This window comes from Homo sapiens, chromosome 6 (assembly GCF_000001405.40).
Source record: "Homo sapiens chromosome 6, GRCh38.p14 Primary Assembly".
NCBI classification, from domain to species: Eukaryota; Metazoa; Chordata; class Mammalia; order Primates; family Hominidae; genus Homo; species Homo sapiens.
Window position 1 is genome coordinate 151936239 of NC_000006.12, and position 16456 is coordinate 151952694.

Here is a 16456-nt window from a genome sequence, read left to right on the forward strand (position 1 = left end):
GATTGGAAGCAATGAACCATAGTTCATTCTAAGGCTTGGGGAGAGCAACTTTGAGGAAATGAGGCCCCTAAACTTGCCATGTAGGAGAAGTTGGGGGGTGGTAAATTGGGCACCCTTTATCTACTAAACGTAATCTTTACTTCCCCACCCTCTAATTTTTCTCAGTTGGGCTTGAAATTGTTTTTGCTTGTTACACTTTATGGGAAAAGAAAGGGAAATCCTAATAAGGTCCATGCCAGCAAAACTCTAGAAGAAGAAACTAAGAATTTCAAATTGACAGTTTGTTAATGAGAAAAGACAAGGTTAAAGGATTTTGTTAAACAGATGACCAAAATAATTATTGGAAACTTCTGCTTCTGGCCAAGGTGGAATAATAAGGGCTACATTTACCTTCCCACCAGAAAATATAATAACAAACAAAAACTGGACAAAACACTGGACATGACACTGTTGTCTTTAAACCTTGGACATCAATCAGTGCAGGATGTTATTTTGTAAGAAAGGGAAAAAAATTGGGGTGAGCCTTCTGATTGTTTCCAGACTGGAGAGAAGTTTCAGGCCACAGCAAGTGGGGAGGAACCTAGGTGTAAGTATATGTATAAGGTAGCACATCATAGTGGCCAAATGAATGGCACAGGAAAGAAAAACTACAAGAACAGAGGAGGTAGGGCCACAAAACTAGAGTGGGGTCCAAGATTCACTATGGATAAAATGGGGTGTTAATTTGGTTTTCAAGGCCAATACAAGAGGAGGCATAGAAAAAGAACAAGGTGGTGTTGGGAAGTAGTATAAAAAGGGGCACAGGCTTATCCTTGTTTTATAAAAAACAAAGGTTTTTGGAAGGGATTTGTAGAGATAAGTTTGAAAAGTAGTTTGAGACTATGTGTGGAAATTCATGAATCTTAGAGTTTGATTTTATTCAGGAGATCAGTAGCTTTTAAAATGTAAAATAAAACCAGTAAACTCTATCTAAAATAAATTCTTCCCCTAATCCCAATATAAAAAATACATATAAAAGCGTAGCTGCTCTAGACAAAATGGCGGGTATGAGATGACCAGAAACCTCAACAGCACTACCTCTGGTAGCCCCATAGAACTGCCAAGAGTTTTCAGAGTATAGTTAATTCCTGCTGACGGCTAAGGCAGTCATTGAGTGATTGGAAAGAAGACGGAAGATAGACAAGATCAGTTAATTGGGTTGGAGGGAAGACTGAAGATAGGCAAGGTGACAAATTAGGAACTGTTGCAATGATCTAGGCAAGAAGGAACCTATGAACTAGGAGGGAGGCTTAAAGACAGCAAGGAGGGAACTATAGGCAGGGACATGTGAGGAAATGCTTAGTAGTTAAGGTGAGTTTGTAGGTATGAAAGGAGAGAAGGAAAGAACATTAAGTAGCATTAAGTGAACCAGATAATTTATAGCTCCTTGACCTGAAACATTTAGAGGCTGTGATAACACTAATAATAATAATCTATAATTACATAAATTACGTAGTGTAATGATATATCATGATATAATCATCTTACCAATGCTTTACAGTCAATGACATTGTGGTACAGAGACTTTGGAGGCAGATAGACCTCGATTGTAACCTCTGTGCTGCCCGTGGTATGACCTTGAGCATGGTAGTTAATCTGAACTTCTTTCTTTTCTGTTAAATTGGGGACAATGACAGTACTTAACCTTATAGTACTTGAAGGGAGAGTGTTAGAATTGATACTGGGGAGTCTCTCCACAGAAAGTTGTATTAGTTATTGTCTTTATTTCATTCTTAATGAATTAGCACTCCCGTTTTCTTTAACATGTTGAATTTAAAACCTCTTAGTGTATTTCTTTGTCTTGCCTTTTAATACCCCATGAATTATTGAGAAACAAAAGAAAGTGATTATGCAAATGTTTGAAATATCTAATAATACATGAACGTAGTCATGGGAAACTGGAGAAATAACTTTACTGATATTATACTAGTTTTTTTTCTGGAAGCATAGCATATTAAGAAAACTCATTTCAATGAAAGAAAATTTAAAAATTAGAGTGCATTAGAAGCATAATCCAATGAATTCTATTCCTAATGAATACTCAGGCAGTATGTTAACTTTTTCTGAGATACAATAGCCAAGCCAAAGAATTTAAAGAATGAAAAAAACAGATGATTAAACAAACTGTGAAGTAATTAGAGGTAGTCTTTGAAAATGCCTCATTAGGCATTTGACTCATTAGGACAGATCCTTTTATTTTAGGGCCAGGACATAATTATTTAAGCAGTTGATGTGTCTTTAGCTCCTTTCACCTTGCCACAAGTTGTCGCCTGTACTGCCTTTCCACCTAGCTTCCAAGTCCAGGCCGACTTTGAAGAGATTCCTTAGGGCTCACCTCCCCTGGAGAGTGCCCTCTGTACCATCTCTCTCCCTTTCCTCCTCATTCCTATTGCCTGAGTTTATTGTTTTAATAAATTCCCATAAGTTAACACCTCCTAGGGTGGATTAGAATCATTCAAATCCACATTGATTGTTACTAAGTAGAAATTTTATACTGAGCCTTTCTAAATCCTTACAACAACGTGACGAGGATATTATAGTTGCTTTAACCCAAGGAGATGAAATTCAAACTGGTGGCATTGCACACTTACAGTGGGCTTGCAGGATGAAAGAGAGCTTGGTATCTCGATCCCTTATACAAAACAGGTGGGTCTTGTTAGAAAAATTCTTCAATAATTGTTAAGGTTAAAATTTTGAAAAGTGGTTCAAAGAAATTTGCTTTGATGCAAATATTGTCTAGTCAGTTACATAACTTGAGCTATAATGACAGTGTACACTAGCTATCCAGGGCACGACATCTCTATTGTGCTGTTGAATATACTGCTCAACCATTCTGGAAAATGGCATGTTCATGTATGAATGACAATGTATCTTGTGTGTATGGCATTCCAAGCCAACATGTTGGTCCCTGCAAGTAAACTTCTTGACTGTCAAGAGGCTGCCTGTTTAATATTTGCATGATCTAAACTAATTGTTTCCTTTGTTTTTTTCCTCTGCTTTATGAGCTGGTAGTTTGACCTTTTGGCTTTTCCCCTGAGAGTTAACAAAAGTTAGACAGTTGGGGGGTGAACTTAAGTAAAATCCATATCACTCTATGTTGCTGCTCTACTAACAATTCAAGAAAATGTCTTGGTAGAAAGCAAGGAATGAGTTTTAAATTTTCTCTTTGAATTTCAATTATCCATGCCACTCCTGTGGTCCACCATTCTATATAATTAAGAATAAGCTGTATGTTCCATAGTGACACAGGCTGTTATTTCTGATTTGCAGTTTTCACTTAACCTAGGGTAAAATTGAAATAGAAGTCGCATCCTTTTTTTTTTACCTTCTTCCACTCAATTCTAGTTAGATATTTTTGAACTTCTATAAAATGTCTATGCAATATTATCACCAATAATGTGCAAAATTACTACTCCCATGTAGAAGAGGATCCATTCTTCATTGAACCATACCCTTGGGATCCTATCACATGCAGTTGGCCATATAATATTTTATATTATTGTTTTTTTGTTTTGTTTGTTAAGTTTGTACCTACATAATGGATTAAATTCAAAATCTCTGTTTAACTGAAACAAAATCTGTTTAACTGAAGCAAAAAAACAAAATCTCTGTTTTTTGTTTGTACAAAACAAAAAACAATAATATTTTTGTTTTGTTTGTATACTTCATAGGGACTTTGGAATTTGGAAAATATCGTTCATTTAGGGTATATATATTAGTCCATTTTCATACTGCTATAAAGAAATACTTGAGACTGGGTAATTTATAAAGAAAAATAGGCTTAATGAACTCACAGTTCCACATGGCTGGGGAGGCCTCACAGTCATGGCAGAAGGTGAAGGGGAAGCAAAGGCATGTCTTATATGGCAGCAGGCAAGAGAGTATATGCAAGGGAACTGCCCTGTATGAAACCATCAGATCTCATGAGACTTATTTACTATCATGAGAACAGCACAGGAAAAACCTGCCCCCATGATTCAGTTACCTCCCACTGAGTCCCTCCCACATGTGGGGATTATGGGAACTACAATTCAAGATGAGATTTGGATGGGGACACAGCCAAACCATATCAGTACATTAAAGAAAATATTTGTTAGCGCTAAGTGAATCTACTTTCACCTACTTGATTATTTGATGATTTTATAAATAGTCATCTCTTTCCTCATCTTTCCAGTCGTATTTTGTTGTTCCAAAGCCAAAACCTGTGTGTCTTGTATTCAACAACCTGAATCATACAGTTGTGAGACGTAAATGGGTGTGGTGGTTCCACTTACTTCTTTACATAGTACTACAACTAAGCCATCTAAGTAGTCTGCTCCTAAATTCCTCCAAGAAGGGAAATATCATGATTTGATTTAAATGTGACATCCTTTCTTAGAGAAGTTTTCTTTGTCTCCTTCTTCCCCAGTCACTTCCTCCCATCCACTGTGCTTTCGGCAGTTCATTCGTTCATTAATTCATTCAACGAATATTGAATAACTTTTGATCAATGTCTTCCTCCCTCCAAGCTGAAAACTTGATGGAGGGTAACATGATCTGTCTTTGTTTACCACTGCATCTTCCGTGAATATACATTGTAAGTATTGAACGGATTTTTACTAAATGAACAAATACTTTGATAAAATATTTTTGATTACTGCCAATATCAGTTTCTGAATTGATTCTAAAATTCTTCTGCTGGAAAGTAGATTAGCGTTAGTATGACTGCTGAAGCCTTTTAAAGTGGGTGGTAATACTACGTTTCGTTTTGTTTCATTAACCTAAGTGCTGTTCTTTGGAATCTTTTTAAAGTAAGATAAATTACATTCATGAAAGAAGCATATTATTTTTAAAGTACTTTATTTTGGAAAGGTAAAATGCTTGTGTAGTTATAATTTGGTTACTCTTGATTTCACCTTAGGAAAAACAATATCACCTTCTAACCATTTCTTTTTTAGTCAAATCTCTTGCTTCTATTTCTCTCTGTAGATCCGCTATTAAAGACTGTAATCACTGCTGCATCTTTCCTGTAAGGCTTGATCGCATTGTTAATTTCTTTCTAAACTTGTAGAGTAGGTGTATAAATCGTATTTGGGTAATACACTGACTAATACTGAAGAACCAGGCATTTTCTTACCCCAGTCCTCACACGAAGTAGGGAAATACAAGTCAGAACTTATCTTCTCAAAACTCTGACCTCAGAATTTCCTGAGAAATCTGAACCTAAAAAGATTCTTTGCTTTTGACATTTTTTCTCTGGTGTCCACCGCAAGGCTCTTGCTCTTACATTTTTTTTTTTTTTCTAATGTTTCAAATAGAAGATGGTAGAGTCATATAGTACAAGCTCAGCATCGGAGGGGCTACTGGAGGTCAACTAGTGCAAATGCTTTCTGAATAATGGAATCCTTTGGGAATACCCCCTTGAAAGTCTTCATCTAGCCTCTTCTTGGAAACCCTCAGTGATACCCCTCATCGTCTCCTATGATGGCAGCTTCTATCTTTGTCGTCAGCTCTGACTATTACAAACTGCTTCCTTACATTGAGCTGTAACTAACTAAAAAGTTTCCACACCCTGCTTCTATTTTAGCCTTTGGGCTCATAAAGAACAAGTTGAACCCGTCTTATGCAGAACAACCCATCTACGGGAGATGCTCAGGTTTCCTCCATGTTTTCCTTTCTCTAGGCTAACCCTTCGTTGTTCCTCACTTACTCACTATATAACCTGATTTCATGTCTCCTTACCCTTCTTGTTACTCTAACTTGAGTAGGCTAGTTTCAGGATCCAGCAATAAGTGTGATACATCAGGTATGCTCTGATGAGTTGAGAGTAGAGTGGACATAGCATCTCCCTTAATTCAGATATTGTGATCTAATTGGCAAATCTGGCAATAAAAGTTGAAATGCCTGATCCAGGACAATGGCTGGTCAGGTGCCATTGTTCTCATCTTTTACTTTTAGGTGTCCCTCAATTTGTTAAGTTAGTACCTACGTAATGTCCTGAAACTTGTTAAGTTTGTACCTACATAATGGATTAAATTCAAAATCTCTGTTTAACTGAAAACAAAAGCAAACTTCTTTTCAGAGCCAGAATCTGGAATCATACGTAACAGAGAATGATATTGTACAAGTTGCTTCATCTCTTTAAGTAACGGTTTCTCAAACTTACAAGATTATTGTGAGAACTAAATTAGTTCTAAAGTGCTTCCATGTAAAGTGTATGTAAATGCTTAAAATATATAGTAAGTGCTGAATGCATATTAGAAATAATAATAATCTTTATTATAATTTTTACTATTTCATGAGAAGTACTTATTTTAATACTGAGCAAATAGGAAGAGTTCATGGCTTCTCTATGTTTTTGAAGTGTCATTTAATATATTATATATATAAAACATATATATATTTCAGTCACACATTTGTCCAAATACCTTGACAAATTAAAACAAAATAAGACAAAATTCTCACGCTAGTTATTTGTTATAAAGTAATAGAACAAGTGATATGTTATAAAGAGCATTTATTTCTCATGTCTTTGATATTAAAAATAGTTGTATTAACTTTTTATCAAAACGATTGCTTCCTTCATATAAATCTAAGAATTATGCTGTCTGATAAATATTGGAGAGATTAACTTCTTTGAAAATATAGAAGCTTTTTGTCTTTTTAAAATAGTTGTTTTTTTGCAGATGTTAATACATTTCAGCAGTACAGTATGGCCTTTTTCAGGTTAAGGTGCTGAGCCCAAACCTCAAAGAATCACTGCAAAAAGATTGGATCCCCCCTCTTCACCCCATTTCGTAATTTAGTTAGTGAGAACCACAACTGGCTAAACCTTTGTGGGGGGCCGGGCACTGTGGCTCATGCCTATAATCCCAGCACTTTGGGAGGCCGAGGCAGGCAGATCACAAGGTCAGGAAATCGAGACCATCCTGGCTAACACGGCGAAACCCCGTCTCTACTAAAAATACAAAAAATTAGCCGGGCATGGTGGCAGGTGCCTGTAGTCCCAGCTACTCAGGAGGCTGAGGCAGGAGAATGGCGTGAACCTGGGAGGCGGGGCTTGCAGTGGGCCGAGATCCCGCCACTGCACTCCAGCCTGGGTGACACAGCGAGACTCCATCTTAAAAAAAAAACAAAAAAAAACAAAAACAAAAAAAAAACCACCTTTGGGGGGAAATTATCAAATAAAACAAACTCTTTTTAGAATTTTACAACTTTTATGTTAGGAAAAAACAAATACATTTGTGAAAAGCTTAAAATCCAGTAAATGACTTGAGGGACTTGGGGCAATCCTAGGGTGATGAGGAGCAGGTTAGTAACAGTGAAGGACTTAGCACCCCAGGGGGCCAGAGGCTGTAATATACCTTATGAGCAAGTCATTCTTATTTAGTCTTGCCCATTAAGAAGTCTACTTGGACTAAATGCTTTTAAAAATGCCCTTTTAATTTACTATTAAAAGAATATTCCTAGCAGAAGTAGTCTTGGATGCTAAATTCTATTTTAAGAATAACTAAAATTAGAATTCTGTTCTTTTTATAACACCTGTTACACACACACCCCTACCTAGTGTGTCGGAATCAGTTTGTATGGGCTCACCAAAGCCTACTGTTCAATTTTCAGGAGTTTTGTAAGCCATTTGATGTCAGACAAGTGGCCTGAAGTTTGTTATGGTGGTGGTATTTACACCATGAAAATTGGCATGTTATGGTGGTAGTATTTACACCATGAAAACTGCTACAAATAGAAATCTTTTTCTTCTTCTCTTGGAGAGCCACTTGTTGAACACTTACCAGCTCACCTGTGCTTGAAAGTATTTCTTCAAATAAAATGAAAGCTGGTTAGCTTTGAAAATTTTTTGTATAAAAGTTTACACGGGAAAAAAATAAACTAATTTTTTTTTCCACCTGTGTTTTCAGGGATACGAAAAGACCGAAGAGGAGGGAGAATGTTGAAACACAAGCGCCAGAGAGATGATGGGGAGGGCAGGGGTGAAGTGGGGTCTGCTGGAGACATGAGAGCTGCCAACCTTTGGCCAAGCCCGCTCATGATCAAACGCTCTAAGAAGAACAGCCTGGCCTTGTCCCTGACGGCCGACCAGATGGTCAGTGCCTTGTTGGATGCTGAGCCCCCGATACTCTATTCCGAGTATGATCCTACCAGACCCTTCAGTGAAGCTTCGATGATGGGCTTACTGACCAACCTGGCAGACAGGGAGCTGGTTCACATGATCAACTGGGCGAAGAGGGTGCCAGGTAAGAATGCGAAGCGCAGCTTTTAAGAGTCAATAGCTTTTCAAGAACTTGTTGTGATGTCATGGGAGAAATAGTGGGGGAAAAAGAAGCAATAACATGTTATGTAATTGGTTTCAAGGTTACAGGAGATGTGTTCATTTTCAGTATCAATACACTGTAATTTTCCAGGAGATTAGGAAATAATATTTTTAAATCAGAATCTAGAAGACTGAAATTCTTAAATTGACATAATTTATTTTTAACCCATCTCATTTACCAAAAAGATTTAGGGTGGACACTACATGGTAAAACTATTTAATAGTGTATGTTCACAGTAGCAGAAACTTTTAACACTAAATGAACTACAAAAGTTTGTAATATTAATGACCTTTGTTGAAAACATCTCAATTATTAATCAAACGATTTTATCTTAAAAAGATTTTTAAGATTCGGTGTGGTGGCTCGTGCCTGTAATCCTAGCACTTTTTGGGGCTGAGGTGGGAGGATTGCTTGAGCCCAGGAGCTTGAGGCCATCCGGGGCAACGTGGCGAAACCCTGTCTCTACAACAAATTTTTAAAAATTAGCTGGATGCAGTGGCACACACCTGTGGTCCCAGTTATGGGGGAGGCCGAGGTGAGAGGATGGCTTGAGTCCAGGAGGTCAAAGCTACAGTGAACCATGTTTGTGTGGAGTGCCACTGCACTCCAGCCCAGGTGACAGAGCAAGACCGTGTCATAAAAAATAAACCACACAAAAAAAGAGAAAGATCTTTATGGATTAAAAAGATAATAATAAGTGTATTTACTGAATGCCAATTATTTATCCAACCTGGTGTATGCTTAGTGTTTTAGGAGAAAGAGAAAGGCAATGGAAAAATAAATTAAGGTATCATCCCTGAAAGAAACTTTTAGAAAGACACAGTGGCTGAAGTGATACCTTGTTCCTTCAGTTGATTCTCTCAGAACTGGTGTTCTGGTAAAATTGGACTGTTACTCCTGTTATTCAGGGAGAAGAACTCAAGTTTGTATGGCAACAAGACTAGAAAATGACTTTCTCCCTGCCCCAGTGTATTCGTTCAGGAGCTAATGTAGATAAACCGAGGCAAGAAGAAGCTAAATTTTTTTTCTGGGCTTATAGGTTAAATGAGTGATAGATTTAGTTGGAGGTTTTCTCATTTGGTTTCTTTTAATAGATGAAATTAATTGTTTCCTATGAAGCATGAAATGTTTTATATGAAACTAAAAAAATGTGGAGTTTGTACTTGCATTTCAAGGGTCACTGCTCTGTTATAGGCCAAGTGAACTTATGTCTGGCCTTAGAGAATCTTACATGTATTTGCATCTATCAGTATATAAACATGTGGGCCGTAGAATAAGGAGCCAGCAGTACCAGAACCCAGCCTTGTTAGAGGCCACCATTTTGGTGGTTGAGTGGTTATTAGTTTACATGGAAGCATGGAGAATAATAGGCAAATGTAGGTTTTCAGTGTCAGTCGAACTGGCAAACAAAAATTTCTGGTCATCTTCAGAATGAAAAGTTTTCTTGAGTACCTACATATTTTAGCATTTTCATATGAAGCAGATACATTATAAGTTAATTGTTGGAATCTAATTGTAATATGGCTGTAAGTTTTTTCTTTATATTTGTTATTGCCTTGTTCTTATATTATAGGGAAAGAGAAACAAACAAACAAGCAAAGAAACTAATGGTCATATATTTGAGAGCCAACTCTTGGTTGCTGTTCAGTTTTATTTTCCTGTAAACATATATTTTCCCTTATGAAATCTTGGGAATATTAGCTCTGGAGCACTGCTGAACTCAAGTACAGACATTTTCATGTGTATCAGTAGATTCCCATCATGACATTTTTATAATAATGTTGAAGAGCATTTTAAACAACTGGAATTAAGCTCAAATACATTACCAGTGGTTGAAGAATTCACATCAATAATCTTCTGAATTTAGGAATAAAATGGAGAAGTCAAGGAAAGGAAAATATTATACACAGGCTAGCAATAGTTAAAATACAATTATTAAAGCCAGAGCTAGACAAAATTATGGCAATGAGATGTGTAACAAAACCACTCTGTAACTTCATCATGTTCGTTTAAAAGACCTGAATGATTCCAAAATCCTTAGACCAATAAACTATGTCTTCTTACTTGATAATTAAAAAAAAGAATTATAAAGGCAAAAATGAAATTATATGTATGTGTGTTTGTGTGTGTTCCATGGGAATACAGCTGTTGTAAATCAAAGGCCTACTTGCCTGACCAAGCAGAATAAAAATAGTCATTGATTTTAAAGAGACTAAAAGTGAGGGAAGAAAAAAGTCTTCTGCAAAAGCTCTACAGATGGTTGTCAAACTTTTCAGAAAAATAGACAAAGCAACATTTTGAAAAGGATTTATATCTTTTATATATTCAAATACCATCTGTTATTTAAAAAACATAGCCCACACTGAATATCTGATATAGACAATATAACGTTTATGAGATAATAGTTTGAGAATGACAATAATAATAGTAAGTTTTAAAAGAGGAAATAAGCCGGGCACAGTGGCTCATGCCTGTAATCCCAGCACTTTGGGAGGCCGAGGCGGGTGGATCACCTGAGGTCAGGAGTTCAAGACCAGCCTGGCCAACATGACAAAACCCTGTCTCTACAAAACAGTACAAAAATTAGCCAGGCTTGGTGGCACACATCCATAGTCCCAGGTACTTGGGATGTTGAGGTGGGAGAATTGCTTGAACCTGGGAGGCAGAGACTGCAGTGAGCCGAGACCCCACAACTGCACTCCGGCCTGGGCAACAATGAGACTCTGTCTCTAAATAAATAAATAAAGAAGGAAATAGTAAATGTCATTAGTAAGAAGAATAGCAAAATTTCAGTTCTAGAAATACCCAGAATTAGCTATATGATACAAAAACCCTCATGAAACATTTGGATAATCCTCAGAATACCTATCAATATAACAAAAACTATGAATTGACTTCATTTTGAATGATGAATTTTTAACAAAAATAGTCAATACTTTGGGCTTAGTAGCTCTAGAAGTGCTTCTTTCTTCTTTCTTTTAATTAACAGAATATTGTCAGAATTTTCAAATGTTGATGATTATAAGTTGAATTTTCCTTTTCATTAACCCCTGGGGCTTATTTTTTGACTTGATATGTTTCTCTACTCAGAATTAAGATGTGAAGAGCTTTGGGATAGAATGCATCATACAAGTGTGAGAGTCAAGTTCCAATCCATAAAGTACTTCTGGTAGACCTGGATAAAGATGACCTTAAGAAATGATTTTTTTTCTCTTTGCAGTTTAAAAACAACAGTAGCAACAAGAATGATAAAACCTATGAAGCCAGCTCTGACAAAAGATGTTTTTTTTATAACACATACTATGTATCTACTTTTTGATATTTATCTATCGAGAAGACTTTTCTCCTTATTGTTTGCTCTGAAATTTGTTTATATTTAATAGGAATTTTATAGCCTTATCCCTGGGTAGAAATTCAGTTTTTTTAAAAGTAGATAATTAAATCTTAATTTACTATTATTTTACACATGGTGAAACTAGTCAATAAATGTAATATCATTGAGCTGAAGGTTAAAAAGGAAAAAATATGACTGCAAGAGTGGTTGTATTTTTGATTTCAGCATCACACTCAATTGCATCATTGAGTGGTTCATTCTTAGTTTCAGTGTTAATGAAATACATCTGAGTTTTTTTCCCCAGAAGCTTGAATTGTGTCACCAAAGTGTCATTTTGATTTATTGAAAGTTAAGCCCTTTCCAAAATTCACCATAATTTTACATGTCTCGAAAGCAATTTTATACTTCAAGTCTGTGCTATAGTTCTATATATTTTATGAAGATTTGGATAGATATCTAGCCCTGAGTTTTTTATTGCCTGTTAAATACTTATAACCCAAAGTGTAGCAGCCTCATGAACTGCTGCTGGGCACAGATCTGGGAGAGTGCACTCAGAGTGTTGGCCCAGGAAGAGGAAAAGAGGAAAAGGGGCAGTTCAGTGGCAGCTTGGCTTCCTGTGAAACATGTCACCTTAACCACTTCCTCATTCTTTTAGTGGCAAACTAGACGACCTTCTCCTTCCCCTTTCCTGCCGAGTCCCCCTCTAATCAACACTCTAGAAGGCCCCTCTTCCTCCTCAGTCCTGACTCCCTGTCATTTACTTCAGGTTGCCTCCTTGCTCAGTTTTGGCCCCAGGGGTAGGCAATCTCCTCTTTCTGGACATGTCTCCCACCAGCCCCAAGTTCAGATTTCTTGGAAGTTTCTGTGTTGTCTCGAGGATGCATGGTTGTGTGAGTTATTCCAGGGCTCAAGGCCTCTTCTGTGTCTGTATTCCCCAGGAATCCAGGAATTCACTTCTCTGCCTCTCATCCTCATCCTCATCATTAAAATGAGCAGATTTGAGCTCAGGAAGTGCTTGAATAAATGAATAAATGAACAAATGAAAGGTGATTTTTGAAAGTCTTAATTTTAAGAAGTCTCTGAGCCCTGTTACAGCTCAATTTTCCCATAAACTAGAACTGCTCTCTAAGGCTGTGACATTTCTCCTTTTTCCTCTCCTCAAAATCTACCTGCTGTTCTGATATCTCCCTGACAGCCACCATAGTGAGATTCTATTTCCATTTCCAATCTCTCTTTTGTAAGGGACAGAGAAACAGCTAGAGAAATATGGAGCCATGCGCTCTGAGGACTTTAGCAGGCTTCAACTCTATCTGCAAGTGAGTTTCACTTAGCGAATGAAATTGGAAACTTAAAGTGGGTAGGGATGAGGGTTCCCGGAGAAGGTGTAATACCTCAGTCTGGGAATTGGGAGCATCTACAAGGAACACACTCAATTCTGGGAGGTTCCTGTAGATTTCAGAGATTTAGCAGGGCTTCCCAGCACTCTGCTTCCCAACCTGTCATTGGACCAGTAAACCCTGCTCTCAAACTGTTGTGGTGTCCAGCATGCTTTGGCAAGGTAATGAAAGATAACATGACATGGACATATGGGTGACATCCTGGAGAGATGACAGAAGCCTCTGTTTAAGGACAAGATTTGCCATTTAGATTTTGCACCCACTGTATAATAAGAGCCTTAGGATTGGGCTGGAATCGCCCTAGCAGGCATGATGGCAGCCCCTCTGGACTGGCAATATGCAGCTTTTTTGCAAGTGTTCCATGTCCAAGTCACCCCACCCAGCTTTCTACTGCTCCCGTGGAAGCTCTGGTGAAACGCAAGGAAAGCAGCTGCTGTTGACTGGATTTTTCTTTCACATGAAACTTTGAAGCCTCATAGATGCTTATTGGCCTGGATGCTATTAAACCTTTAAAAATCCCTTTCTCATCTTGAGAGTATTTGAGAAACATGTCTGGGGCATTTTGCCCACCCTCCTCCAGGTTCTGTGTCAGTGAGTGATATGGTTTGCCTGTGTCCCCACCCAAATTTCATCTTGAATTCCCATCTGTTGTAGGAGAGACCCATGGCAGGTAGTTGAATCATGGGAGCAGGTCTTTCCCATGTTCCTGTGATAGTGAGTAAGTCTCAAGAGATCTGATGGTGTTAAAAAGGGGAGTTTTTCTGCACAAGCTCTTCTTCTCTTGTCTGCCACCATGTGAGATGTGCCTTCCACCTTCTGCCATGATTGTGAGGCCTCCCCAGCCACAATGGAACTGTAAGTCCATTAAGCCTCTTTCTTTTGTAAATTGCCTACTCTGGGATGTGTCTTTATGAGCAGTGTGAAAACAGACTAATACAGTGAGTCTGGGTCAGTGTGTGTTTATGTTGAACGTAGTGGACTTGTGGTGTCCCCAGGGCACCCTGTGGGGAATGTTGGCCTGTGGCTTTGCTACTTCCAGGGGGATTTGGCATGGAGAATGTGTGTTTTAAGTAATAGATAGATTATGATTGAAGTGTGTTATGGGCTGAGTTGTCTCTCCTCAAAAAGACATGTTAAAGTCCTAACCCCCAGTATCTCAGAATCTGACCTTCTTTGGAAATAGTGCCTTTATATAGGTAATCAACTTCAAGTGAAGTCATTAGCACAAGCCCTAATCCAATAAGGACTGGCATTCTAATGAAAGGGGAAATTTAGACATAGAAACAGACATGCACAGAAGAAGATGATATGAAGAGACACAGGAAGAGGACGGTCATGTGACTGGAGTGCTGGGTCTGCAAGCTGAGAAATGCCAAGGTTTACTGGCTAACATCGGAAACTAGAAGGGGCAAGAGTGGACTCTCCCCCTCAGAGAGAGTATGGCCTTGATTTCAGACTTCTAGCCTCCAGAACTGTGAGGCGTACATTTCTGTTGTTTTTGAAGCCACCTAGTTTTTGATACTTTGTATGGGAGCCCTAGGAAATTAATACAAAGTGTATTAAAAATAGAATTTTCTTCTATTGTATTTTTGAGGCAAAAGAAATAAGGAGCTATTGATTTAAGGAGGAAGGTTTGGCTCATCTAGTATAGACTTGGCTAATCATTTACTCTTGTATATTTCTCTTCTGCCTGCCCAAGTAGTTCACTGAACAGGCTTAGAAGTTGATTTATAATTGTAAGAGTTTACACATCAGAAGTTAATTTATAATTGTTAACAGTTTCATGCATCTACCTCATAAATACCTTGTAAAAGATTTTACCCTTCAGAATAATGTTTTCCTCTGGTACTTTAGTAGTTTATCCTTTTTTTGCATCTTTGATGCATTTGAATTCATCCTGGTATGCTGTGTGAGCTGGGGCTCCAATGTCGTTTTCCTACAGATGGCTCCACAGTTGTTTCGGTTTCATTCGAACAGCCTCCTACAGAAGTATTTTTCAGACTTCTTTTATACTTGACTTCCAAGTTTACTACTGGTTAAGAGCTTTTAAAGTAGGGGGAAAGATATGACCCATTGGCCTACTCGTTTGATTATTTTTTCCAATTCTGAAATCAAAAATTAAAAAATTTATTCAAAGTTATAGTTTCACTTAATTTATATTAACTGCATAGATAGTGTGATTCATCTGTCCTGCTTGGACATATTTAGTAACTTTTAATTAATCTTAGAGATAAAAGATAGAAATCTATGAGACTTGAGACATTCAAATAAGACCAGTACTGATAAGAGGTAATCAGGTGAAGTGCCATTTGGTTGTAATAGGACATCAAAATTGTTCCCCAAGAGTGAAGGATGTTCCATTCTCACTTTTCCCATCTGTCCTCCCAAATTCTTTCACTCTTCCTGATGCTTTGAACCAACTTGAAAAGTTAGTCCACTCAGAACCTCAGCTGTTAAACTTTTAGCCTCTGCAAACAAACTAGCCGTTTTCCTCTTTGTCCCTTTACCATCAAGCTCAGTTGCTTCTCCTACTCCTCTCCCTTCTGCCAGGGGCTCCACCCTTGTTCCTCATTCAACAGTGGAATCATCTGTGTGCCTGTCTCCTCTTTACTGTGTACCATTGGGTCCTCTTCTTCACCATCTCTAAATTTATGCTTCTTCCCTGTTCCACTGTCACCAGCTTGGTCTACATCCTACTTTGATCATTTGGATTTAGGTCCCACCCTAATCGAGTATGACTTCATCTTAACTTGATTGCATCTGCAAAGACCTGATTTCCAAATACGACCACAAGTAAAGGTTCAGGTGGACATGAATATTAGGAGAGACAGCACTTCAATTAACAGTTTGGCATTAGGACTTTATTATCTAGCTTAGTAATTGTTTTAACAGATAAATAATAGTATCCCCTAAAGTTTAAAATGCAGAACCAGATTATGCCTCAGGGTGCCTAACCTGAGAGGAAGAGTCTTTCTTCAACAGACTCTGGGAAAGACCTTTGTAAAAAGGCTGGTGACCATTCTATTTGATTTCTACTTTCCAATATTAACTGCTTAAGTCAGACAATCTCCTTGGCCCACGCTTTCCCCTGCCATTCTCCCCTTCACATAATGTCTTCATTTTATTTTTCCCTTGTTTTATTCCCTGAACTCCCTTCTCTCTATTCAGATTCCCTGCCCATTTTTTCTCCTAATGAGACGCCTGACTTCCTACCTCCTTTTTGAAACTTCAAACTGCTTAGCAAATACAATTTTGAATTGAGTTTGCTGTCACAGAACAAAAACTAGTCCTTGGTCCAGAGTATCTTGCAGGACTGAATCAACTGTGGTCTAAGACACAATAATAACTCTTAATTATTTTCTTGTTTCCTTCATGGT

The 16456-nt window shown here is 37.8% G+C and overlaps 1 protein-coding gene across 33 annotated transcripts in view; it reads left to right on the forward strand.

Moving 5' to 3' along the window:
• The window catches only part of ESR1 (estrogen receptor 1), a 472948-nt gene that overhangs the window by 279567 nt on the left and 176925 nt on the right, over positions 1 to 16456 (forward strand). For 32 of the 33 annotated variants that reach the window (XM_047418290.1, XM_017010377.2, NM_001385568.1 and 29 more), the window contains one exon: positions 7935 to 8270. In XM_047418290.1, coding sequence (XP_047274246.1) covers positions 7935 to 8270 — 336 coding nt within the window. Of the gene's footprint in view, positions 1 to 3; positions 4616 to 7934; positions 8271 to 16456 lie in introns of those variants that run through there. The other variant, XM_017010383.2, reaches the window with a different exon arrangement.